This window comes from Homo sapiens, chromosome 17 (genome assembly GCF_000001405.40).
Source record: "Homo sapiens chromosome 17, GRCh38.p14 Primary Assembly".
In the NCBI taxonomy this organism is placed as follows: Eukaryota; Metazoa; Chordata; class Mammalia; order Primates; family Hominidae; genus Homo; species Homo sapiens.
Genome location: NC_000017.11, coordinates 32,100,480 through 32,127,392, shown reverse-complemented (window position 1 = coordinate 32,127,392; position 26,913 = coordinate 32,100,480). Strand labels below are relative to the sequence as shown.

Below are 26,913 nucleotides of genomic sequence, written 5' to 3'. Positions count from 1 at the left end.
CAGGGCTGCAGGCTGCCCCCCTGCTGGTCCCCCAGCTCAGGCCCCTCCCCACCCCTCCCTCTAGCCGAACTCTCATCAGCAGGACCAGGCAGCACAGGGCTTGGCCCAAAAAGAACAAATTGAAGTTATTCAGAGAGCTGAGGAAACCCCTCTTATAGGCATCAACTGGTTTCCAGGAAAAGAGAGATGTTAATAGCTGACCCCACCACTGCAATGACTCTTTTGAGCCCTAAAGCAAATAGAAAAATCACTGGGGTAGGGAAGAAACATTTCGCATAGTGGTGCTCAGACTTTGGTAAGACAAGAATCTTCCAAGATTTGGGTGCTTGGGGGTAGGGCTAGAAATGTGCATTCTCTTTTTTTTTTTTTTGAGATAGGGTCTCGGTCTGTTGCCCAGGCTGGAGTGCAGTGGCTCAATCATGGCTCACTGTAGCCTCGACCTCCCGGGCTCAAGTGATCCTCCCACCTCGGCCTCCCAAGTAGCTGGGACCAGCGACATGCACCACCACGCCCCGCTAATTTTTTACTTTTTTGTAGATGCAGAGTCTTGCTATGTTGCTCAGGCTGGTCTTAAACTCCTGGGATCAAGTGATCCTCCTACCTTGGCCTCTCAAAGTGCTGGGATTATAAGTGTGAGCCACCATGCCCAGCTGAAAGCTGCATTTTCAGCAAGCCTCTCACACAGACCTTGGTTTTGTGGGCCCTAAAGATTACAAATATAGGGGGCATCTTTAAGAAAAATAATTTCTTTTTTTTTTTTTGTCTTTGAAACAGACTCTGGCTCTGTCACCCAGGCTGGAGAGCAGTGGCATGATCTCTGCTTACTGCAGCCTCCACCTCCAGGACTCCCACCTCAGCCTCCCAAATAGCTGGTACTACAGGTGCACACCACCACGCCCAACTAATTGTTACATTTTTTGTAGAGACAGGGTTTCCTCATGTTGTCCAGGCTGGCCTTGAACTCCAGGGCTCAAACGATCCTACCACTTTGGCCTGCCAAAGGCTCGGATTACAGGCATGAGCCACCGTGCCTGGCCAAAAAATAATATCTTACTTTACAAAACTAGATGAGCATCTGTGTGCATTGCTAGTGGGGCCCCACACAAGGGAAGGACCCTGCGGCACAAGCCTCGTAGCCCTTCCCATGAGTCCACTTCTGAGCCAAGAGGATTTTGATGCAGGAAGAAAGAGCTTCCTTGAAGAAACACAGACCAGTGCTTTAGTCACAGCATTACTGAGCACCTGCTGGGTGCCAGGCCCTGAGCTTGACTGTGGGGACCACAAACCAAGAGGGCACTGACCTTTCCCACCATGTATCATTAGAGTTGGTGGTTATGAAAATTATTAAATGCACTAACACGCTATGAAGGAAATGTAGTCAGTGTTCTGGGGGGAGAAAAGGGGGCCGGCAGCTAAGTGAAACCAGGCAAGTTACTTTAAATCTCCAAGCCTCAGTTTCCTCATCTGTAAAATGGAGCTCATCACAGAACCTATTTCATAAGGTTGTTGTGAGGATTAAAAGAGCTAATGCCTGTGAGGTACTTAAGTCCGTGCCCGGCACAGAGTGAGCACTCTAAGTTATATCTGTGTTTTTGCATATCGGACCTGTGATTGGTGAGACCAGGGTGGACTTCAGGGAGGGGGTGGGCCTTTGGTTTAGGACAGATGGTGCATTCCAGGGACTGCAGGGAGAAGGAGTAGAAGAGCACGCTCCTCTCTGTGTGTGCACTTGTGTGTGCATGTGTGTGTGTTTGTGCACGTGTGTCCTCAGGGAGAGATGAGCAGCTCCTTGTGACTGAAGAGCAGACATCAAGAAGGAGGCACTTAGACACCAGGTGCTGCAGAAGCAGCAGGGTCCCAGTCTGGAGGCCTCGTATTCCAGGCCAAGGAGATTAGACACTGGGTGCTGGAGAAGCAGCAGGGGCCTGGTTTGGAGAAGTGGGCAGGGGACTGATCTGGAGGCCCTTGTGTTCCAGCAAAGGAGCTCAGACTTTCTCCTGAGCAGTGCGAAGCATCACTGAAGGACTGTAAGCAGAGGAGTAAGAAAGCAGGTTTTGTGTGTCATAAAAATACTCGAGTGGTAAAGAGGCGGAGGGATTGGAGGAGGTAAGACAAACCGCAGGAGGCTGTCTGGGAGGCAGTACAGACATCCAGCTGAGACTCGCACTCAGCTCAGAGCCTGGGCAATGGCAGTGGGACAGAGACAGGCCAAGTAACTGGCCATTTGTGTTATGAAAAGTGCTGTTTCACAGCTTCCTATTACTCACAGTAAAGAACTGCAGCAGGGCTGGATAAGGCCATGGTACAATATTAACTTCACAGAGATAGCAGGTCATCTGATATGAAACCACTCCCTGGCAGACGCCTGGTCTGTCTGGCAACCATGTTGGCACCGTAATCCCATTTCATTTTTTTTTTCTTTTAAGACAAAAGTTTCCCTCTTGTTGCCCAGGCTGGAGTGCAATGGCCCAGTCTCAGCTCACTGCAACCTCCTCCTCCTGGGTTCAAGCGATTCTTCTGCCTCAGCCTCCCACGTAGCTGGGATTACAGGAGACTGCTACCACACCTGGCTAATTTTTGTGTTTTTAGTAGAGGCGAGGTTTCACCATGTTGGTCAGGCTGGTCTTGAACTCCTGTCCTCAGGCAATCCACCGGCCTCGGGCTCCCAAAGTGCTGGGATTACAGGTGTAAGCCACTGCGCCCGGCCCATGATCCCATTTCTGAGCACATACAATCAATTCTCATAGTGTGGTCCCCTCTGCCCATTTCTCTGTGGGCAAGAGGTTCTGAAATACCCAATATAAAACACTGTGATGGGGCCAGGCACAGTGGCTCATGCCTGTAAATCCCAGCGCTTTGGGAAGCCGAGGTGGGCGGATCAGTTGAGCTCAGGAGTTTGAGACTAGCCTGGACAACATGGCAAAACCCCGTCTCTACAAAAAATACAAAAATAAAAAATAAAACACTGTGATGGGAGTGGGGGTTTGTGTGGGACAGTTCAGTTGGCACCCATGTGGAGTTAATCAGACCCCATGGAGCTACTCAGATCAAAGTGATTTAAGCATTTTTTGTCTTCATGAACAAAGACAAGTTCCAGAGGTACAGCCTAAACTTCAGACCCTCAAGTTTTGGCTGGAGTGAGTGAACCAGAACAGTGAGTCCCAATCTTTTAAGGGAAGCATAATTTATATAAAGTAAGGCCTGCGACAGGGTCAACATTAGAATGGGCTCGTAGTGAAATAAGAGCCCTGTGAAACTTCCTGTGGAGTTACACAAATTACAAATCCACCAGGACTTTCCCCAGTGTCCAACTTCCAAAAATACTGTGTGTATAAAACAGTAACGTAATTCAAAGAAGTTATCCAAATTGCTCATGTCAACATGTTGCTTACTGAAATAGCCATAAAAAAACAAATCCCGCTGGGCGCTGTGACTCACACCTGCAATCCCAGCACTTTAGGAGGCAAGAGGATCATTTGAGCCCAGCAGTTCGAGACCAGCCTGGACAACATGGCAAAACACTGTCTCTACAAAAAATCAAAAATAAACTGGGCATGGTAGTTCATGCTTGCAGTCCCAGCTAATCGGGAGCCTGAGGTGGGAGGATCACTTGAACGTGGGAAATGGAGACTGCAGTGAGCTGAGATCATGTAGCTTGGGCAACAAGCAAGACTGTTTCAAAAAAAGATAGAAAGAAAGAAAGAAAGAAAGAAAGAAAGAAAGAAAGAAAGAAAGAAAGAAAGAAAGAAAGAAAGAAAGAAAGAAAGAAAGAAAGAAAGAAAGAAAGAAAGAAAAGAACAAATCCCATGCCTTCTTTGAGAAAAAATGTTATTTTTTAAAATCAAGATTTGAAGACATATCTTTGCAGAAATGTTAGAACAGCAATCTGGGGTTAGTCAAAGGTATGTAATAAAAAATTTGAAGTACAGATCAATTTAAAGAAGAATATTAAATAAATAGTGTTGATGGCACATGGACACAGGAACATTCAGAAATGTGGCATGTGGTTGGCTGAAATATTAGAAGCACCAGTTTAGTCATTCAGCCTCATTGCAGTTTTCAGATGCGATTCTGAGGCACAGAGAGGGGAAGTGACTTTCTCAAGGGATCATTGTATAGTTGAGGATTACTTTTGGGAGCATTGAACAGAAAACCCCCAAATGTAGAGGCTTGAACAAGATAGAAGGGTTTGTTTTTCTCTCATATGAAAAAGGCTGGCGGTCAGCCATTCAGGTCTGGGGTGGCAGCCCCACTGTTCCTGGGGACTCAGCTCCTTGTATTTTCTCCTGAATCACCCTTAGTTTGTTACTTCATGAACTAAAATGGCTGCTGGAGCATCAGCCATCGCATCTGTTATTTCAGGCAACATGAAGGAGAACAAGGCGAAGGGGCAAAGGGCACTCCTCCTCTCAGACAAGTTAGCTTGCTCCCTCTAAGAAGCCTTCCTGGGGGTCCCACGCAATTCAACTTCACCCCATTTCCGGATCTTATTCACGTGGCTACTCATAACTGCAAGGGAGACTGAAAAGCAGTCTTATTGGGTATATTGTCACCCTAAACAAAATTGGGGTTCTGTTACGGGCATATCCAGGATTTTTAGTGGGTCCGGAAGCTTTTGCAATTTCTCTTTAAGAAAATATACAAAATTGGCCGGGCACGGTGGCTCATGCCTGTAATCCCAGCACTTTGGGAGGCCGAGGCGTGTGGATCACGAGGTCAGGAGATCGAGACCATCCTGGCCAACACCGTGAAACCCCGTCTCTACTAAAAAAAATACAAAAACTTAGCTGGGCGTGGTGGCAGGTGCTTGTAGTTCCAGCTACTCGGGAGGCTGAGGCAGGAGAATGGCGTGAACCTGGGAGGCAGAGCTTGCAGTGAGCCGAGATTGCACCACTGCACTCTAGCCTGGGCGACAGAGCGAGACTGTCTCAAAAAAAAAAAAAGAAAATGTACAAAATTGTGAATACAAAGCCAGGTACTGAAGTAAATATGTGTTTAGAAGAAACAAAGAAATCAAAACAGATTACAGATTTTTAAAAACTTGACACATACCTCAAACATCTTAAAATCCAGAAAGATGGCCGGGGGAGGTGACTCATGCCTGTAATCTCAGCACTTTGGGAGGCCAAGGCGGATGGATCACCTGAGGTCAGGAGTTCGAGACCAGCCTGGCCAACATGATGAAACTCTGTCTCTACTAAAAATACAAAATTTAGCTGGGTGTAGTGGCAGGCACCTGTAATCCCAGCTACTTGGGAGGCTGAGGCAGGAGAATCACTTGAACTTGGGAGGCGGAGGTTGCAGTGAGCCAAGATTGCATCATTGCACTCCAGCCTGGGCAACAAGAGCAAAACTCCATCTCAGAAAAAAAAAATTGCCAAATATTTTAATATTTTAATACTGTCCTACTTCTTCAGCATACTCTTTGATTGCTCCTTCAAATGATGAAGATATAACTTTTTTTTTTTTTAGACAGAGTCTCACTTTGTCACCCAGGCAGTGAGCATGCAGTGGCATGATCTCAGCTCATTGCAACCTCTGCCTCCCGGATTCAAGCAATTCACCTGCCTCAGCCTCCCAAATAGCTGGGGTTACAGGCACACACAACCATGCCTGGCTACTTTTTTTATTTTATTTTTATTAATTAATTAATTTATTTATTTTGAGACGGAGTCTTGCTCTGTCCTGTCACCCAGGCCAGAGTGCAGTGGTGCGATCTTGGCTCACTGCAACCTCTGCCTCCTGGGTGCAAGCAATTCTCCTGCCTCAGCCTCCTGAGTAGCTGGGACAACATGTGCCCACCATCGTGGCCCACTAATTTTTGTATTTTTAGTAGAAATGGGGTTTCACCATGTTGACCAGGCTGGTCTTAAACTCCTGACCTCAGGTGATCTGCTCCCCTCAGCCTCCCAAAATGCTGGGATTATAGGCGTGAGCCACCGCGCCTGGCCCTAATTTTTGTATTTTTAATAGAGACAGGCTTTCACCATGTTGGCCAGGGTGGTATTGAACTCCTGGCCTCAAGTGATCTGTCCGCCTTGGCCTCCCAAAGTGCTGGGATTATAGGCATGAGCCACCGTGCCTGGCCAGGGTTTAACATATTTTCTATAAAGAAAATAGAATGACCATTCTGTCTTTCCATTGATCTGTTTATTCTCCATTGCCCACGTACTTTGGGTGCCAGGCACCATGGGACATGTTCCTTCATGATGCTCCTTGGAGCCTCCGGCCCTGCATCTTTGCATCTGGATCCAGGTGGGTTGGCGCAATTGGCAGAGGAGTGTTCTAGAAGCCATTCCTAACAGCTGGGAATAACTGAGTCATTCATGGAAGTGGCTGTGAACCACATAGACCTGTCCTGCTAAACCTACAATACATGTTGCCCAACTCAATTCCTTAGCAAGATTCCCAAAATGTACATGGCCTCTCCACCACCACCTGACTCAAGAGGAAGTGTGCTGGAGGGGAAGTTGGAGTGGAAGAAGATGGTAGCGTCAGTCCATTTAAAACATTTTAACTTTTGCAAATATTAGAGAAGTCTGTGAGCATGTGAACACATTGCTCATGCAGAGAAGGGCCCTGAAGCTCAAGCTGTATTAGCTCCTCGATGAACCTGCCTCTGGGTTCAGCTCCTAGACCAGCTGGGAAGGACAAATGATGAGCTGGCAGGTAGCGATGTTTGCCTCATGGAGGTCGCACCTGGTCTGGTTGCAGCCTCTGGCCCCAGCCCATTTTATTCTTGTCGCTGGCCCACACTGGTGCTCTTCTTTTATCCTTCACACCGTGTGTTCAGAGAACAAAGCCCCCTTCATTCACTGTAAACCCTCCCCAGGAAAGAAACCAGTATTTACCAGACACCAGATCGCTCTCTGTCTGGCACCTCTGATCAAGCTCCCAACAGCCCTTGCTGGGTTGAATAATGGACACATCTGAGAATCAGAGACCTGCCCAGGGCCATGCATGTGTGGAGCAGTGGAACCAGGCTAAGGGTGATAATAGCAGCCTGGCTCCCAAGTTTGTCGGCTCCCCCACACCCAGCAGCCCCTTCCCTCTGTTTTGGACTTACCCAAAGTGATGGCTGAGGCAGTTGCCAGAGCAACCAGCCACCACAGTTAATCTGCTGAGCTGACACTCCCAGGGCTGATTAGCTAGTTGGCGTTCTGGTTATTTACTGCTGCATAAACGTTATTCTACCACTTAGTAGCTTAAAACAATGACAGGGTTTATTTGGCTTACAAATCTGCCAGTTGGGCAGGGCTAGGTGAAGAGAGCTCATCTCTGCTCCACTCGGCATGAAGTCAGGTGGCCCGGAGGCTGGGGCTGGAATATCTGAAGGCTTCTTAACTCACAGGTCTACCGCTTAATATTGCCTCTTGGCTAAGATCTTAGCTGAGGCAATTGACTAGAACACCTGCAAGTGGCTTTTCCACATGGGTTGGGCTTCCCCACAATATGGTGGCTGGAGTCCAAGGGTGAGCATTCCCAGTGAGAGCCAGGTGGAACTTACATCCCTTTTATAACCTAGCCTCAGAAGCCATCCAGTGCCATTTCCACCACATTCTATTTCTTGAGGCAATCACATGAGCACCACCCAGGCTCAAGGGGAGGGGAAAGGGACCTCACCTCTAGACAGGAGGCAGCAAGAGGTTGAAAGAGCACCTGGAACCAGAAATATTTGGAAAATTCAATGCCCACCACAGACAATAAGTAAGTGCTGGACTCCTCTGGGCACTGGGGTACAGAGAGAATTGGACACAGTCCCAGCCTTAAGCAGCTCATATTCCAAAGGGTAAGATGGATATACAGCTGGGCTACATGGCATCAAGGAGGAAGTGCACAGAGTTTTTTTGTTTGTTTGTTTGTTTGTTTGTTTTTGAGACGGAGTCTTGCTCTGTTGCCTAGGCTGGAGTGCAATGGCACCATCTCAGCTCACTGCAAGATCCCCCTCCAGGGTTCAAGTGATTCTCGTGCCTCAGCCTCCTGAGTAGCTGGGATTACAGGCACCCACCACCACGCCTGGCTAATTTTTTGTATTTTTAGTACAGACAAGGTTTCACCATATTGGCCAGGTTGATATTGAACTTCTGACCTCAGGTGATCCGGCTGCCTCAGCCTCCCAAAGTGCTGGGATTACAGGCGTGAACCACCGTGCCCAGCCAAGATTTTTTGTTAAAGTTAGTATAGTTGGTTATGTGCTGGACACCATTCTAGGTGCCTTACATTTAACTTCATGTCAGTTTTATGAAGCGGGTACAAATAATAATCCCCATTCTACCTGGGAAGAAACAAAGGCACAGAGAGGTGAAGCAACTTGCCCACAATCACACAGCAGTAAAGTGCCAGAGCCGGGACTCAGCCCAGGCAGTCCCGCAATGGAGTCTGTGCTGCTCACCACAGCACCACCCCACCTGTCTTCTCAGATGCCCCCTCATGGGATGGACCTACTTTCATGGACCTCAACGTCTTTGCAGGGAACATGGGCCTAGGTGACTGCACTCTGTCACTAGGGAGTGAGGAGGGTTCTGCCAAGTGGTTTCATTTTGATCACTGTTTTCTGTGCCTGGGGGGTGGGAAGCCCAGAATGGCACAGCTCAGCTCCTAGTCCTATCAACTGTCTCTCATCCAGGGCTGATTCTAGAGGGGTGGCAGGGAATGAGTAGTGGGGGCTGCTCTGCTGAACAGGAAGGAACGCCGAGTCCATTCTCTTTTGTATCTGGGGATCCCCAGAGAAGAATGTAACATGGTATGAAAGAGTGGAACGCCAGCTTCTAGGGGAGCCGCAGTGTCCAACAAGGGCACACACTTTGGGAGTCAGCCAGGCCTGGCCCTAATTCCAAGCTCCTTCACTTCCAGGTGGGATGACCCTGTGCAGTCTACTTCACTGCAGTAACCCCCAGTTTTCCCTTGCTTACATGGGGGTGATATTTTCTCACATGACTTCCCTGATGTGAAATGAGAGAACACATGTAAAGCACGTAGCATGATCCTGCGTAGTAGGCAGTGAGTGACCATCTCTCCCTTTGGCCAGGCCTCCTGGCATGTGCCCAGACCTAGACCCTGTCCCCCAAGGAATCTGACCAACACACTGCAGTGGGGGCTTTCACCTCCCTTGTTTCTACACACTCTACCACTAGTGATATGACTTAAGATTATTTTATTATTTTTGCAGCCACATCCCTCAGTGGTTCTCATCAACTAAAATCCTACAGTTCTTTCCACAGGTAGCAGCTGCTTCTCATTGTCCTCCCAGCGGCCATCATAAATGACCTGGCTGCAGTGATAGTTGTGCTGTTACAGAAATATGGAAAATCCCAGGCCACGTCCTCCATGCCTCGGGACCTGTTTCCTTCCACACTAAAGGCTTGCTCAATACCCCAGCAAAGGAGGGATAGGTAAGATTCAGAACCCAGGCCTCCCGCACCCTCCCTCTGATGAGCTCTACTCCTGAGGGGTATTGTCCAGCCATTTGCTCAAGGGAGAAAGATAGTAGATGCTCAGTTCCTACTTGATGATGAGAAGGTGACTGAGAAGGGTGTGTCTACTTCTTCAGTGCGGCTCTGCCTCCCAGCCTAGAAACTGACCGAAATAACAACCAACAATTTTAAAGGTGGGATGTGGGCGGGAAGTGGAAATCTACATTCACACTGGAAACTAGAGTGTTGTCACAGGCTGTCCACATGCTGCAAGCATTGAACGTGATGCATTGCCAGAGCTCATGTGGGCTGGAAAGAAGGCATTACCGGGTCACTGCAATCAATGCATAGCTTCCCTTCTGGGAATGGACTTAGTGATCTTGGGAGGGAGGTGCAGATCCTGGCCGGATGAGGGCAGCCATCAGGCTTTGAACATTCACCTTATGTGCTAAGTGCTTCACACGCTTCATTTATTTGGTCATCACCACAACCCTGCCAAGTACCAAGATCCCACTTCGCTTATCAACAAGGAGACGGAGGTTCCAGGAGGTGCAGGAAACCGTAGCAGGGCTGAGGGCTGACTTGGTGTCCCCCATGGACTCAGGGGACTGGGGAAAGGGGAGTTAGTGTTTAATGGGAGTTTCATTTGGAGATGAAAAGGTTCTGGAGATGGATGGTGGTGATGGTTGCATAACAACGTGAATGTACCTAATGCTAGTAATTTGCACATTTCCAAATGGTTTAAATGATAACTTTTATGTTCCGTAACTTTGCCACATAAAAAAGGTAGGGGGAGGAAGGCAATCACTGCTAGGTTGCTGTGGTAACTCTGCAGGTGTATATAAAGCTATCAGGAAGAAAAAGCTAAAATACTCACTTACAGTCTCCCATTGTTTTGCTCCAGAATCCACACACCTGCTCTGTCCCTGCAATGTATATAATTAAAAGAATGCAGGTGCTCAGCCTGATTGAATTGAGCCTGCTTCCCTCTCAACTACTATTATATTCCAGATGGGATAATGCAGTCAACTCAAAGTTCTGAGTCTGAAGCCTGCCCTCTTTGTGTTAAAAGTGAGATCAGACCCAGGCATGGTGGTGTGCACTTGTAGTCCCAGCTGCTTGGGAGGCTGAGGCAGGAGGATTGCTTGAGCTCAGGAGTTCCACACAGTAGCATGCTATGATTGTGTCTGTGAATAGCCACTGCAGTCCAGTCTGGGTGACAGAAACAGACCTGCATCTCTTTAAAAAAAAATGCAGCCAGACGCAGTGGCTCACACCTGTAATCCCAGCACTTTGGGAGGCCGAGGCGGGCGGATCATGAGGTCGAGAGTTCAAGACCAGCCTGGCCAACATAGTGAAACCCCGTCTCTACTGAAAATACAAAAATTAGCCAGGCATGGTGGCAGGCACCTGTAATCCCATCTACTCAGGAGGCTGAGGTAGGAGAATCGCTTGAACCCGGGAGGCGGAGGTTGCAGTGAGCCTTTGCACTCCAGCCAGAGTGACAATGTGAGTCCGTCTCAAAAAAAAAAAAAATGCAATCAACACTGGCGGAGAGGAGGTACTGGCACCAACCTGAGCCTTTCTCTTTTTAAAAATAATTGATTTATTGATTTATTTATTTTAGAGACAGGGTCACACTATGTTGCGCAGGCTGGTCTCAAACTCCTGGGCTCAAGTGATCCTCCAACCTCAGTGTCCCAAAGTGCTGAGATTACAGACTTGAGCCACCGCACCTGGCCTAGACTTTCTTCTTGAGGTCATCAGAAGGGTTGAAGACACTTGAAAATAACGTCCTCACTGTGTGATGCCAGGGTATTTAATCCTGCATCTGTGAAGGTAAAGTGTTCTAGCAGACAGGGTCCATTTCTCACTGGGCAGCCCTGTTGAGGAGAGCAGGAACTGCAGGGGCTGGGGTTGTCCAATGACCAAGAGAAGAACAATTAGGCAGAGCGGACAGAGCTCAGAGCCCTGCATGTGAGCATGTTGTTCCCCACGTCCCCACCCCAACTCTTGTTGCTTTTTGCTGCACTGTTGGGGGAGACCCATTTTCTACTGAAGCTCACTGACACCATGTCAGGCTGCCATCATGGACTCCGGGCCTTGGGGAGGGCCACCGTGGTCTGTGGCGGGTCAGAGCATGTAACTAGAGCACACAGCGTGTGGCAGCCGAAAGCTGGAGGGTGAACATGCAGTTGACGCTTCCTGATGCTGGGCGTAGCAGCTTGGAATCAGCTCCAGATGCCTCCCAGTGACAGTGGAGCTGTCAGAACCTGCAGCTTGGTGGCCTGCCGCCAATTCCAGTCTGCAAACTTGTTTTGTTTGTCCTATAAACTGTTTTAAAAATGTAAGCCAACTTCTGAAAATTGGGAGATTTCACATAAAATTCCACACTTCTAGCATCTCTTAAAAAAAAAAAAAAAAAAGCTGATGTGGTGGCTTACACCTGTAATCCCAGCACTTTGGGAGGCCCAGGCAGGCAGATCACTTGAGGTCAGGAGTTTGAGACCAGCCTGGCCAACATGGTGAAAACTGGGCTCTGCTGAAAATACACAAATTAGCCGGGCTTGGTGGTGTACTCTGGTAATCCCAGCTATTTGGGAGGCTGAGGCAGGAGAATTGCTTGAACCCAGGAGGTGAAAGTTGCAGTGAGCTGAGATGACCCCATTGCATTCCAGCCTGGGCAACAGAGTGAGACTCTGTCTCAAAACAAAAAGAAAAACAAAAAACAAAAAACAAGGTCGTCCTGGCACAGAAAGAGCTCTGTTGATGGGCAGAGACACAGATGGGAGATGTAACTGACAGGACTTCAGTCTCCTTGACCCCACAGCCTTTGACACAAATCACTGCAATCCCCTAAAATCACTTTTCTTTGGCTTGCGTGGCTTTGTACAGTCCAGGTCCTATTACCATTTCCATTTCCTTCTGCTGCTTCCTTGTGATTGTATGTGGGAAGTTTCAATGCTTGTCCCTCCCTACTTTTTATTTTTTAAATCTTGTTAGGAGATTTTATCTATTCTTAGGTTTCAGATCTCCCCTTTATGTTGGTAACTCTCAAATCCCCCTTCTCTATGTGGTGATAGGGAAACACATATTGTACATCCAAGTGTGAGGAAGTTGTATTCGTGTTGGGGTCTGGAGGATGAATTGACGTTAGTCAGATGAGGGGTGTATCCTAGCTTGACTTTACTCCACTTTTGATTTTAAGTGCTAGCTGTAAATAGTTTAGTAAGGTCCTCTCTCTTATTTTTAATGTGTTACCCATTTGTCGATTTCTAATTACCATAAATGTTTTATTTTATTTTATTTTAGAGACAGAGTTTTGCTCTGTCCCCCAGGCTGGAGTGCAATGGTGCGATCTTGGCTTCCTGCAACCTCTGCCTCCCAGGTTCAAGTGATTCTCCTGCTTCAGTCCCCCAAGTAGGTAGGATTACAGGCATGTGCCACCAAGACTGGCTAACTTTTTTTTTTTTTTTTTTTTTAAGATAGAGTCTCACTCTGTCACCCAGGCTGGAGGGCAGCGGCCCAATCTTGGCTCACTGCAAACTCCACTGGGATTACTGGCCTGAGCCACCATGCCCAGCCCCAGCTAACTTTTGTATTTTTAGTAGAGACAGGATTTCACCATGCTGGCCAGGCTGGTCTTGAACTCTTGGTCTCAAGTGATCTGCCTGCCTTGGCCTCCCACAGTGCTGGGATACAGGCATGAGCCACCTTGCATGGCCAAATGTTTTATTTTAATATTGAAATAATATCATCCCTTCGTATGATGTGAAAGTCAACCAGACTTCACTTATATTAGATGCCAGATGCCTAATAGGGTAGTTTCTGATAAGTTTCTCCTTTTTTTCCTGCAGAGTGGAGAAAGAAAAGGCACAAGCAGTTGAGCAACAGGCCAAGGTTAGTGAACAGAAGAAGGCAGAGGATGTCAAGGCCCAAATGGAGGCTCTTTCAAAACAGCAGCACTTGACTTCCCATCAGCGGGGGGAGTTGGTACTGGTCCCACTTTTACATACATTTTTTACTTGATAGCATACATACATTTTTTACTTGACAACATACATACCTACATTTTTTAGCCAAATTCATGCACACCCATGCACAATGATATATTCTTGTGGGTTTTGTGGTTTATTTTTTGAGACAGTGTCGCACTATCCCCCAGGCTAGAGCAGATCACAACCTCGACTCCCTGGTTCAAGCGATCCTCCCACCTCAGCCTCCCTAGTAGCTGGGACTGCAGGCACACACCACCATGCCCAGCTAATGTTTGTAATTTTTATAGATATAGGGTTTCACCATGTTCCCCAGGCCAGTCTCAAACTCCGGGACTCAAGCAATCCACCTGCCTCAGCCTCCCAAAGTGCTGGGATTTTAGGTGTGAGCCATTGTACCCAGCCAGGTTGGTTTTTTTTTAAGTTTATCTCACATATATCGTATTGTCATTATTTGAAAACAGCTCTGTGGATACACCAAGCTGTGGTTTTGTAAAAAGTATACATATTTGGAGGACATCTGAAATAAGATTTCTATTATTTATCTTTAGAGTTTCATGAGTAATTTCTGAAAATAATTTTTTCTTGTGAATTTCCAGTTTGGAAAATTTCTGCAGTATATAGAAAAGCAAATTACGCTAAAACTCCGTAAGAGTTTGTTGTAATTGATTATTATAAAGCTACTGATGGTTTCTTAGTGTTTTCATACTATAAATAATGTTCCATGGCCAGGTGCAGTGGCTTATGCCTGTAGTCCCAGCACTTTGGAGGGCCAAGGCAGGAGGATCCCTTGAGTCCAGGAGTTCAAGACCAGCCCGGGCAACATAGGGAGACCCTGTCTCTAATAAAAGAAAAAAACAAAATTAAAAAAATAAAAATACAATGTGCATATATGCTGAACATTGAGCACCCGAATAAAAGATGATTACTGGCCAGGCGTGGTGGCTTACGCCTATAACCCCAGCAGTTTGGAAGGCCGGGGCAGGTGGATTGCCTGAGGTCAGGAGTTCGAGACCACCCTGACCAACATGGTGAAACCCCATCTTTACTAAAAATGTAAAAATTAGCCGGGCATGGTGGCGCACGCCTGTAATCCCAGCTACTCGGGAGGCTGAGGCAGAAGAATCGCCTAAACCCAGGAGGCAGAGTTTTTAGTGAGCGGAGATCACACCATTGTACTCCAGCCTGGGCTGCAAGAGCAAAACTCTGTTGGGTTGGGGGGGTGGTGTGCAGGGAAGAAAGATGATTATCACTTATTCCTATTGAGAAAATACTATAAAAGTTTTTACCACTTCCTGCCGCGGCGGCCTCAGCGCTGGCCCGAGGGGACCAGATCGCCGGCCCCAGTGAGCGGCATGCAGCGCTGAGGAACGGCGACCCAGCAGGGCGGCGCCATGAACCTCCTGCCATGTAACCATCACCGCAACGGGCTGCTGTACGCTGGCTTCGACCAGGACCACAGATGCTTTGCGTGTGGGATGGAAAATGGATTCCGAGTCTATAACGCTGATCCACTAAATGAAAAAGAGAAACAAGAATTTCTAAAGGAGGAGTTGGCCATGTTGAAATGTTATTTCGCTGCAACTATTTAGCTTTAATTGGTGGTGGAAAAAAGCCAAAATACCCTCCCAACAAAGTAATGATCTGGGATGACCTGAAGAAGAAGACTGTTATTGAAACAGAATTTTCTACAGAAGTCAAGGCAGTCAAACTGCGGCGAGATAGAATTGTGGTGGTTTTGGACTCCGTAATTAAGGTGTTCACATTCACACACAATCCCCAATGGTTGCACATCTTGAAAACCTGCTATAACCCCAAAGGCCTCTGTGTCCTTTGTCCCAATAGTAACAACTCCCTCCTGGCCTTTCTGGGCACCACACGGGCCATGTGCAACTTGTGGACCTGGCCAGCACAGAGAAGCCACCAGTGGACATTCCTGCACATGAGGGTGTTCTGAGCTGCAGTGCACTCAAACTGCAGGGAACAAGAATTGCAACTGCATCCGAGAAAGGGACCCTTATAGGAATATTTGATACTTCCTCAGGGCATTTAATTCAGGAACTGCGAAGAGGATCTCAAGCAGCCAATATTTACTGCATTAACTTCAATCAGGATGCGTCCCTCATCTGTGTATCCAGCGACCATGGCACAGTGCATATTTTTGCAGCTGAAGATCTAAAAAGGAATAAACAGTCCAGTTTGGCCTCAGCCAGTTTCCTTCCAAAATACTTCAGTTACAAGTGGAGTTTCTCCAAGTTTCAGGTTCCCTCAGGCTCTCCGTGCATTTGTGCCTTTGGAACACAGCCAAACGCCGTCATTGCAATTTGTGCAGACTGCAGCTACTACAAACTCCTGTTCAACCCCAAGGGGGAGTGCATCCGAGATGTCTACGCGCAGTTTCTAGAGATGACTGATGACAAGTTGTGACTCCCCTGCTGGGGGCGCCACAGCACCCACCACCTGCCGCCTTCAGGCTCTCGGGGCTGGTGCCAGAGCCCCAGGGGCCTCCTGGGCCACGGGCTGGAGGGGCTGCCCAGGGACCTTGGTCTCGAAGCCTTAGGTGGTTGTCTGCTTTCCTAAGGACTCCCATTTCCAGTATTAAAGAGAGAATCATCATCAAGGCACCGTAGGTACTCAGTGCTGTGACCAGCTTGAGTGGCCGCTGGCTGTTCCCATGAGTTCAGCTGTGATGTTAGCTTCAGTGGCTCCACCGCATCCTCACGCTGACGGGGGCTCCATACGGACCTGGGAACTGGGCTGAGAGGGTGGATGAGTTCAAGTTTGTTTTTGCAACAGATTCCATTGTTCTTACTGAGTCTGCAGCGGGGAAGTGAACAAGTGTGCAAATGTAAGTTCTTACATTATAAGCAGATTTAAATAGAACACCAGCAGCTTGCCTTAGAAAAGGAGAAAGGAATTCCTTCTCCCGTCCGAACATGAAGAAAAACGACCTGACCCTGTAGAGAGAGCACAGCGTGAATGTTTCCCCTTGTGTGAGCCCAGCCTGTGGTCTTCTCCGTACCTGCAATGTGGTCATCTGTGCCCGTAATGTCGTCTGTGCCCTTGCGTGGCATCCCCGTCTCTGTTGGGGCCATTAGAATGAGATGGACACCAGGCCACCGTAGAAGCCGAGCTGTCAGACCTCAGGCGTGTGCGGGGCGGGGACGCGGGGTCTCCTGGTTACATTCTGGGTTAAATCTGTTTCCCGGTTATGTGTAGGGAACATCAGAGTGACGCACGGACTTTGAACATTCGTTATGGGGGAAAACATCCTTTAACTTCAGGGTCGTCTGGCAGAGCAGGATCTGGGAGGGCCCGCTGTAGTGCCCGCTGCAGTTCCCGCTGGTGTAGAGGGAAATGCCTCGGTCTGGCCTCCAAGCCCCCAAGTCCACTGTCTTCCCCTCCCCTCATTTGTAAGAATAGCTACACACTAACATTTTAGGAAGGAAAGGCACATAACTTTTTTTAACATTTGGTAACTAAAATAGGTTATGGGCTCTACATTGTCAGCTATTTGGGATATATATTTAATTTTCTTAAATTCCCGTTAAAGAAACCCTATTTTATGGTTTTGATTTCAGATTGCAAACATATAAAATCTGCATAGCAGCGAGTTCTCGGTTTTGCCAGTTCCTTCAGTTCCTTTACTGTTACTGTCATGTAATCAACTAACTCTGTATGTGGATTTTGATGTAAAGTATGCATGTTCCTTTTATGTGTATTTAATCATGATGTTTAATTTTGCACACTTATTTGTAATGTTTCTTTTAAATAAAAGTGACTAATTTTGTTGTAAAAAAAGTTTTTACCAACTTCAGTATATAAACATTGAAGATACAGATGAATAGATATACTATATACAATATTATTAACATAGTTATACATAACTATCTAAAAATCACATATAAACCAAATTATTTGTTTCAAACTACTTTTCCCTCGCATTTTTTTTTTTTTTTTTTTTTTTTTTTTGAGACGGAGTCTCGCTGTCGCCCAGGCTGGAGTGCAGTGGCGCAATCTCGGCTCACTGCAGGCTCCGCCCCCTGGGGTTCACGCCATTCTCCTGCCTCAGCCTCCCGAGTAGCTGGGACTACAGGCGCCCGCCACCTCGCCCGGCTAATTTTTTGTATTTTTAGTAGAGACGGGGTTTCACCGTGTTAGCCAGGATGGTCTCGATCTCCTGACCTCGTGATCCACCCGCCTCGGCCTCCCAAAGTGCTGGGATTACAGGCGTGAGCCACCGCGCCCGGCCTTCCCTCGCATTTTATAAAACATTTTTTCAAATTGTTATGTATCTTTCAGTTTACCATAGGTCCTTCACTTACATCAAAGTTTGAGATGATAGCACGTTTGGATTCTACGTATGATGCTATCTGTCACAGGAAATTCATTACTAAACCCAAATATCTATAACAACCGGCTAGTTGTTTTGTTTTTTATTTTATTGTTGTGTTTTCTAATTTCTGCAGTGTAACTTTTTTTTTTTTTGAGACAGGATCTAACTCTGTTGCCCATGCTGCTGGTATGCAGTGGCATGATCACGGATCACTACATTCTCAATCTCGTGGGCTCAAGCAATCCACCCATCTCAGCTTCCCAAGTAACTGGGACTACAGGCATGCACCACCATGCCCAGCTAATTTTTGTATTTTTTGTAGAGATGGAAGTTTTGCCATATTGCCCAGGCTAGTCTTGAACTCCTGAGCTCAAGTGATCTGCCCACCTAGGCCTCCCAAAGTGCTGGGTTTACAGGCAAGCACCACTGCATTCGGCCCTAATATATTACTTTTAAAAATTTATTTAAAATTCTTTTTTACGAAGATAGCTAACACTTCAACTTTGAAGGCATATCCTCCAGTAAATAACTACTAAATATCTGTTCTATTTCTTTGCCTCCTTTTTTTTTTTTTTTTTTTTTTTTTTGAGACAGGGTCTTGCTCTATTGCTGAGGCTGGAGTATAGTGGTGCACTCATAGCTCATTGCAACTTTGAATTCCCAGGCTTAAGGTGATCTTCTGGTCTCAGCCTCTTGAGTAGCTGGAGCTATAGATGCACTACCACACACACCTTTGCCTCCCTCTTTCTTTTCTTTTTTCTTTTTTTTTTAACTGATTTAATCAGGTGAGATCTCTAAGTGTTGAAAACTAAACTCTTTTTCTTCTGAAGAATGAGGAATTGTGTAATGTACTTTATATTATATTCAGGTATATAAGATAGGTACAAAAGTAGTCCTAAAAAAATTCGATGTGATGTCATAGGTGAGCACTTTGCAAAGGCAGGAGATAGCGCAGAATTGGAATTTGATTTTAGCAGGCATCCCAGCATCACCCTTAACTAGCTCTGTGGCCTTGGGCCGGTTACACAACCTTTCTGAATCTCCATTTCCTCAGCTTATAAGATACTGAAGGTAAAGCATCTGCCACCAGGTTTGCTGTAAATTTCACCTGTTGTTTTTACATGTGTAAGGTTATACTGTTACTCATCACACCACTGTTGATAAGCTGTTAGAAAAGTTTAGCAATCTATAATAAAGGATATACAGAGTGTCTTTAATAACTGTAGTTTTAAAGATCATATTATACTACTCTGTATAGTATAAATTATTTTTTCTGTAAAAATATTTGAAGGAATAATATAAGAAGTCTAGGAAAACTATTTTATAATTTTCAGCTTTCTTGATTGCAGGTTTGCCAACTTTAATAATAGTGTCATTAACTATTGACATGCTTTCTATAGTTGGAAAAATTAGCATTACAGTGAAACAGAAACCTTTCGCAGCTCCATTTGTTCTCAGCTCTGAATCTCACTGCTGGGCAGCATGGTGTTCCTGTCTCCAGTAGATTACCCACATCTCTGTTGCTTTCAGTCTGAAACCTTGAATATTTGTACAAGCCAGAAAAACTTGATCATTTTAAATTTTCTGCTATGAACAACTTAGTATTTTTAATGTAATATATGTGATACAGAGACATAAAAATACTGCCTTCATAGATAGGTACCTTGGAGGAATTAAAAATATATATATGGCCTTTATCAAGAAATTAAATTCAGGTAAATCTTTTTTTTTTTAAGAGATGGAGTCACTCTGTCACCCAGGCTGGGGTGCAGTGGCATGACCTCAGCTCACTGCAACCTCTGCCGCCCAGGTTCAAGCAATTCTTCTGCCTCAGCCTCCCAAGTAGTTAGGATTACAGTTATGAGCCACAATGCTCGGCTAATTTTTTTATTTTTAGTAGAGACAGGGTTTCACCATGTTGGCCAGGCTGGTCTCAAACTCCTGACCTCAGGTGATCTGCCCATCTCAGCCTCCCAGAGTACTAGGATTACAGGCGTGAGCCACTGAGGCCAGCCATAAACTCAGGTACATTTATACGGGCATATATTCTTTTTGGAAGTAAAATATTTCAGAAATATAGTGTAGTTTCTTAAGGTGAGAGAAATTGTGGACAGACTTCTTGTAGAATGGTATTGTTTTTATTTTGAACTATTTTGATTCATGTTTCCTCTCCCTCGCTTTTTTAGAAATGATTAAAGCAGCAGAAGCTGACAGTGATTGCAACTTCCACCACTTCCTCAACCAACAGTGCAACCAGTACCATCTCTCCAGCACAGAAGGTTATGGTGGCCCCCATAAGTGGCTCAGTTACAACTGGAACCAAAATGGTACTAACTACTAAAGTTGGATCTCCAGCTACAGTAGCATTCCAACAAAATGAGAACTTTCATCAAACCTTTGCTATGTGTGTTAAGCAAGGCCAGTCAGATTCAGGTATACAACTATGATTAAGTAAAAGATTACTTTTGTTCAGGAAAAAGAATTTTCAACCCTTTAGCTACTGAAATGAAACTTTTTTGTAGAAGATTGTTTTTCTTTTGCAGCTGATTGAGCAAACAAGCTATAATGGTTTGTTACAGATAATGTTCATAATATTACATTAGCAAACTCGTCTCTTACATGATTTCACTTTCAACATTTACGTAGTTCACTTTGAGTGGAGAGGAATGTTTTTATTAAAAATACAAAATGAGCCACATTTCATGCATTGGTGCCCTTTCCTAGAAGTCACTACGTTGCTGGTTATTTTAAATCTGAAGCTTATTAAATGTCTTATACCCCATTAGCCACCAGCACAGCTGCGGCATCTGCTACAACCATTGCCAGCACAGGTCAGACGTTCCAAATTACAGGCAATCCAGTCACTATGGCAGGAAAAGTAATTACCAAACTGCCACTTCCTGCAAACAGCAAGACTGTCACTGTAAATGTGCCAGCAACACAAGGAGGTAAGGGAAATGTGAAGAGTTTTAATTCACATTTGCCAGATCATACTGTTGGCATTATTTCTCATCTCCGTTTCACTGATTTCAGACCTCGGATCTCACATTCTGTGTAGCCCACTATAAAACCCTGCCACACGTAGTTTCTTCTCAGCAATGGAGCACCACGTAATGCTTTCCAATAAAGTGACAGTTTTTAATTATGGCTTCATCTTTTTTTAAGGCATTGTTCAAGTACATCAGAAAGTCCTGGGTATCATTCCACCAAGTATAGGCACCAGTCAGCAAACCTTTACTTCATTCCAGCCCAGGACAGCAACAGTCACAGGCAGGCCCAATACCTCAGGCTCTGGAGGAACCACAAGCAATTCACAAGTAAGAATTCTTACAGACTTATTTTGATTTGATGTGTTGAGCACCACATTGATTTTTAGAATGACTTCTTTCAAGATTAATCCAACTTAGTTTCCTTTGCCTATTACTGAATCTGTGACAGAGTACTGATTTGGAAAAAAAATCTGTTATATATCTGATAAGTGAAAATGATATATGAAGTATTAATTTTTAACAGTTAAGGACACATTAGTATGGTTTATTAAGAATAATAATTGCTTTCTAGGATTTTATAAAGAAAATTTATTTGCATAAGACAATGGACAGCACTAGACCACCCAAGGAAGTATGCTGTGTAGGCTCGCTAGGAAATCAAATTTAAACTGCTGGTCCAGCCGGGCGCAATGGCTCATGCCTAATATCCCAACACTTTGGGAGGCTGAGGATGGTGGATCACCTGAGGTCAGGAGTTCAAGACCAGCCTTGCCAACATGGTGAAACTGTGTCTCTACTAAAAATACAAAAAATTAGCTGGGCATCATAGTGGGCACCTATAATCCCAGCTACTTAGGAGGCTGATGCAGGAGAATTGCTTGAACCCAGGAGGCAGAGGTTACAGTGAGCTGAGATTGCACCACTGGACTCCAGCCTGGGCAACAGAGTAAGACTCCATCAAAAAAAAAAAAAAAAGAAAGAAAGAAAGAAAGAAAAGTACTTAGAAAAACTGACAGGAGGAAGGATAATGTTCAGAGTTGGGATTTGGGAATGACTTGCAGAAAAGGTTGAAATTTTAGGAAGGATGGCCTGAGAAGGACTCACTAAAGATGGAATTTGAATAAAGACCTGAAGGAAATGAGAGAGATGTGCAGATACCTGAGGAAAGGGTCTTTTATGAAAAAGAAACAGCAAATGCAAGGGCCCTGAGGCCCTGAGTGGACCTGGTGACATTGAAGGGGTGGGTAGCCAGTGGGTCTCAGGGAGACCCAAAGAGGACAAGAAGTGGGAGTCAAAAGAGTTATGGTCAGAGAGGTGGAGGGTGGGTGGGTGTGGATTGTGCCTTCAGGTGTGCACAGGTCACACTGGAACTTAACCCTCTTCCTACACCACACTAGCTTTTCCTAAGATGAGATCCGGCCGGGTGCAGTGGCCCATGCCTGTAATCCCAGCCCTTTGGGAGGCCAAGGCGGGCGGATCACCTGTGGTCCGGAGTTCGAGACCGGCCTGGCCAACATGGTAAAACCCCTTCTCTACTAAAAATACAAAAATTAGCCGGGCGTGGCGGCGCATGCCGGTAATCCCAGCTCTTTGGGAGGCTGAGGCAGGAGAATCACTTGAACCCAGGAGGTGGAGGTTGCAGTGAGCCGAGACCGCACAACTGCACTCCAGCTTGGGCAACAGAGCGAGACTCCATCTCAAAAAAATAAAATAAAATAAAAAGATGAGATCCACAGAGTCTCGGGGTATAGTCAGAAATTATTAAATTTTTGAATTTCCATTTTGATCTAAAAATACATTGATATATACATATTGGAGATCATCCAGGTGACTATTATAAAAATCAATCAGTACTAATCCTTAGACATGTACTGGACTTCTATCTGCCAAATGCCGTGCTATGCATGTTTCACTCATGGTTTGTAAATGCTCACCACAGCTCTATGAGGGATGCATGATCACTCCTTTTTCTAGATGAGAAAGCTGAGGCTCAATCAGATTAAGTCACTTGCCTGTGCTGTCACACAGATGGAACATTTCTGAGCTGGATTCAAACCCAGGTTCATCTAGCTGCTTCTTTACCACCCTGCCTCCCCCTGAACTGGAGTCTGTGATCCACCAATTAGCAACTCCTGGCACAACGGTAGCCACCCTGAGCCTCAGTGGGCTCATCTTTGACAAAGGATCAGGGTCACCATGACCCTAGCTACCTTAGAGGCTTGTAATAAGCCCTGAATGAGAAAATGAATGTGGAACCCTTTACAACCAAGGACACTTGTGCAAATGCAGTGTGTTGTTATGTAAGGAGAGGAAGTGGGTCTCAAAGCAGCTCCTCCTCTTGTTCCTGGAAGATGAGAAACTCTGGTGCAAATAAAGAGTCATGCAGGCCTCTCGATCGAGAGTGATGTCCTAGGTTTATTCTATTTGCCTCTGGTGGCCCAGGGACCTTAGCAGCTGGACAGAGAGAAGAATTTGGGGGGAGTAAATGGGGAGATGGGACCAGGGAAGGAGAAAGGACTCTGGATTGAGTCAAGCAAGGACTCTAGTTCCAAACTGGACTTTGGAGTGCCTGATAGTATCTTATCAGAGATTTAACACAGATGTGATCATTTCAGAGGCGGGATGGGAAGGACAGGGGTCCAGTGAGCTATTGTTGTGAAGGTGGCCACCAGCCACAGCAGCCATGAGAATATGAGAATCTCATGCTCCCCACCGGCCCCTTGCCAGACTGGGCTACCTGACTATGCTTCAGTCAGTAGTGGGTGAAGACTCACTGAGGACAATGCCTTCTCCCTTAAACTGGGGCCTTTTCCTTCCTGGCCTTTCCTGGGAAAAGAGAGAACAATTAAGTCTGATCATTTATCCCCAGCTGACTATGCCCCAGTAGCGTGGGCTTTAAACCAAATACCACATGTCCATCTGGATACCATGGCAGGCTGGTCACGCGGCCGGCATGCCCGCTGGCTGCCTGCCCCTCTCCTGCATTCATTCAACCCTGATTCTGCAGCATTCCAGAGCAGCCCATTGTTTTTTCCCCTGGGATTGTGAGCCCAGCTCTGGTTTTCTCATCTCTCCTCTGGATGGTGGTGGAAATGCTAGGCCTCAATCCAAAACTGATATGTATTCAGAAAAAAAGAAAGAGAAACCAGTCAGGCCTAATTTGAACTGGGGAAATAGCCAGTGTAAATTTGGAGGAAAATTCAAACTCCATAGCTGACTTGAAAAATGTCCGCATTGACCGGGCATGGTGGCTCATGCCTGTAATCTCAGCATTTTGGGAGGCTGAGGCAGGCAGATCATGAGGTCAGGAGATTGAGACCATCCTGGCTAACATGGTGAAACCCTGTCTCTACTAAAAATACAAAAAAATCAGTTGGGCATGGTAGCGCACACCTCTAGTCCCAGCTACTTGGGAGGTTGAGGCAGGAGAATTGCTTGAACCCAGGAGGCAGAGGTTGCAGTGAGCTGAGATCGTGCCACTGCACTCCAGCCTGGTGACAGAGTGAGACTCTGTCTCAAAAAAAACAAAAAAAAAAACAAAAACAAAAAAAGAAAAGAAAAATGTCAGCATCCAGGGACTGTATCCACCCGGATGATACCCCATTGGGAGGGGGCAGCATCAGCACCGTGCCTGCAGAGGCTTAGGTGTACTTGTGTTTATGTTGATAGTTTATGGCTGTCTGGAGCATAGGCCAGCTCCAGCCCCACTCCCTGAACATCACCAAATTCCAAGCAGTGTGTCTCCGTGAATCTGCTGCTGCTGCTTTTTTTTTTTTTTTTTTTTTTTTTTTAGACAGAGGGAGTTTCTCTCTGTTGCTCAGGCTGGAGTGCAGTGATGTGATCTCAACTCACTGCAATTTCCGTCTCCCAGGCTCAAGTGATTCTCCTGCCTCAGCCTCCTAAGTAGCTGGAATTACAGGCATGCACCACCACACCCAGCTGATTTTTGTATTCTTAGTAGAGATGGGGTTTCATCACATTGGCCAGGCTGGCCTCAAACTCCTGACTTCAGGTGATCTGCCCGCCTTGGCCTCCCAAACTGCTGGGATTACAGGCACGAGCCACCACGCCCAGCTGTGAATCTGCTTCTATGCTGGCTGTGTTTTCCTGGTCACAGCAGCCTCAGGCTCAGTGAAAGTTCACTTGCTGTAATTATTCAGGTTTCATTGGTTCTCCCTTATCCCCCTGCAAAGACCCACTCTCCCTCTAAGTACTGATGGCAGCCTCCAGAGGGTATCTCAAATGTGCTCTTAAACTAGTCCTTTCAGCCACCACGTGGTGTCCTCTGAGCAGGACCGCCTGATCTTCTGGGCACCCCTCGCCCAACATGACCACTGCCTCTAGGCATCGCCTCCCAGGCTGGACACCAGGGGCCAGAGTTGTTCACTGCTCCCTTCACACTCCACAAAGGCCTTCCTGAAGCAGAGCTGTTCGTATTTCCACAAAAACACCTTCCCCACCTCCCCCTACCAAAAAAAAAAAAAAAAAAGAAATCACCCTTCCCCACCTCCCCCACCAAAAAAAAAATCACCCTTCCCACCTCCCCCCAACCAAAAAAAAAAAAAAAAAGAAATCACGCTCCCCAAAAAGAAAGAAAGAAAGAAATCACCCTTCCCTTTTTCACGTGTGGCTTCCATTCTCCTTATGCCCCTGGTGTGAGTCCCAGAGGCTGAGTGATGGCTGCCACACTGAACTCAAGAGTCCCTCCTCCCCTACATCTCTACATCTCTGAAGCTTCACTTGGACCCAGCTTGTCATACCCAACCCTATTCCATTAAGAGAGGTGTCTCCCAGGAGGCCACTGAGGCAGTAGACCCAGGCAAGTCTGTCCTGTCATGTTGCAAGCAGCTCCTGATGTGGCTTGACCCCAGGGGCTAAACAAGGATACACAGCTTCATCTAGAGTAGAATGAACCCCAATTCAATAGCCTCATGGAGACCGGGGACAGACCAGGCAGCAGAATGGAGGTGCAAAGCCTCCTAGGGCTCGAGGACTGGAAAGCGGATTCCCTGGGGAAGACACATGGAGCTAGGGAATGGCAGAAGCTGAGGATCAAGCACCTCATACACCCAGACTCCACATGTGGAAACCGCTGTTCAAACTAACGATACCAGGTTGACTGTGTCAGCCCCTGAAGGAAAGCTGGCATAAATAGAGCCTGGAAAACCAGGCTTATCTTTGCCCAGTAGGCAAGGTAAATATTTAGTCCCAGCCCTGGAATCGTGCCTGGTAGTTCCATTCTTTGCTATCAGTTTTCCTTTTATTCACTCATCCTGCAAACATTTGCCACCTGCCCTCCCTCTATGTGGCCAACCTTGGCCTGGGCACTTCGATGCTCTGATGGCTAAGACGTGATCCCCTATTCTTTTCCTCAGGGAGTCTTGCTGGGGGAACAGACAGGGGGCAGAGATCAGGTCAGGCCTCACAGGCTGGGTCTTGGCTGGCACATAGACTTCACAAGAGGAAGCAAGACTACAGGGAGCAGCCAGGGAGAGTGCTCCAGGGCTAGGGTCAGCACCCGTCCCAGCCTCCCTGACTGGCCTGGTGATTTCTGCACCCATGCTTCCCTGTAAGCGTGGACGTAGAAACACAGAACAAGAAACACTTTGAGGCCAGCAGCACTCAGTATAAGGGAAGCAGCAAGGACTGCTGGGTTTGCAGATCTGGGTTCAATTCCCCATTGCATCATTCATTCACTGGCAAGGGACAAGTTGCTTTACCTCTCAAGTTTCTTCAGAAAAGCAGTAGAATGTAGCAATTGTAAGTGGGCGGACTCATGTATCAGACTTTCTGGGTTCAAATCTCAGCTCTATCTGTTTTTTGGGGGTTTTGTTTTCGTTTTTGAGATGGGGGTCCTGCTTTGTCACCCAGGCTGGAGTACATTGGCACGATCTCAGTTCACTGCAACCTCCACCTCCCAGATTTAAGCAATTCTCCTGCCTCAGCCCCCTGAGTAGCTGGGACTACAGGCACACACCATCATGCCTGGCTAATTTTTGTATTTTTAGTAGAGACAGGGTTTCGCCATGTGGCCAGGCTGGTCTCACTCCTGACCTCAGGTGATCTGCCCGCCTCGGCCTCCTAAAGTGCCGGGATTACAGGCGTGAGCCACCGTGCCCAGCGGTAGTCATCTAACTTTCTAAGAACACATTGTGGCCTAAAGCTCAATGCTCTCTTTG

General features: G+C 46.5%; 1 pseudogene, besides 2 other annotated features; it reads left to right on the top strand.

Annotated features, from left to right (window-relative positions):
- WDR45BP1 (WD repeat domain 45B pseudogene 1) lies at positions 14,699 to 17,203 on the top strand (annotated as a pseudogene).
- Positions 16,268 to 17,092: an enhancer, noted in NCBI's record as "H3K4me1 hESC enhancer chr17:30437320-30438144 (GRCh37/hg19 assembly coordinates)". NCBI's record gives its function as "activates a minimal SCP1, AML or CMV promoter by ChIP-STARR-seq in naive H9 embryonic stem cells {active_cell/tissue: H9 hESC(naive)}" and the evidence as "EXISTENCE:reporter gene assay evidence [ECO:0000049][PMID:30033119]".
- Positions 25,600 to 26,405: an enhancer, noted in NCBI's record as "H3K27ac hESC enhancer chr17:30428007-30428812 (GRCh37/hg19 assembly coordinates)". NCBI's record gives its function as "activates a minimal SCP1, AML or CMV promoter by ChIP-STARR-seq in primed H9 embryonic stem cells {active_cell/tissue: H9 hESC(primed)}" and the evidence as "EXISTENCE:reporter gene assay evidence [ECO:0000049][PMID:30033119]".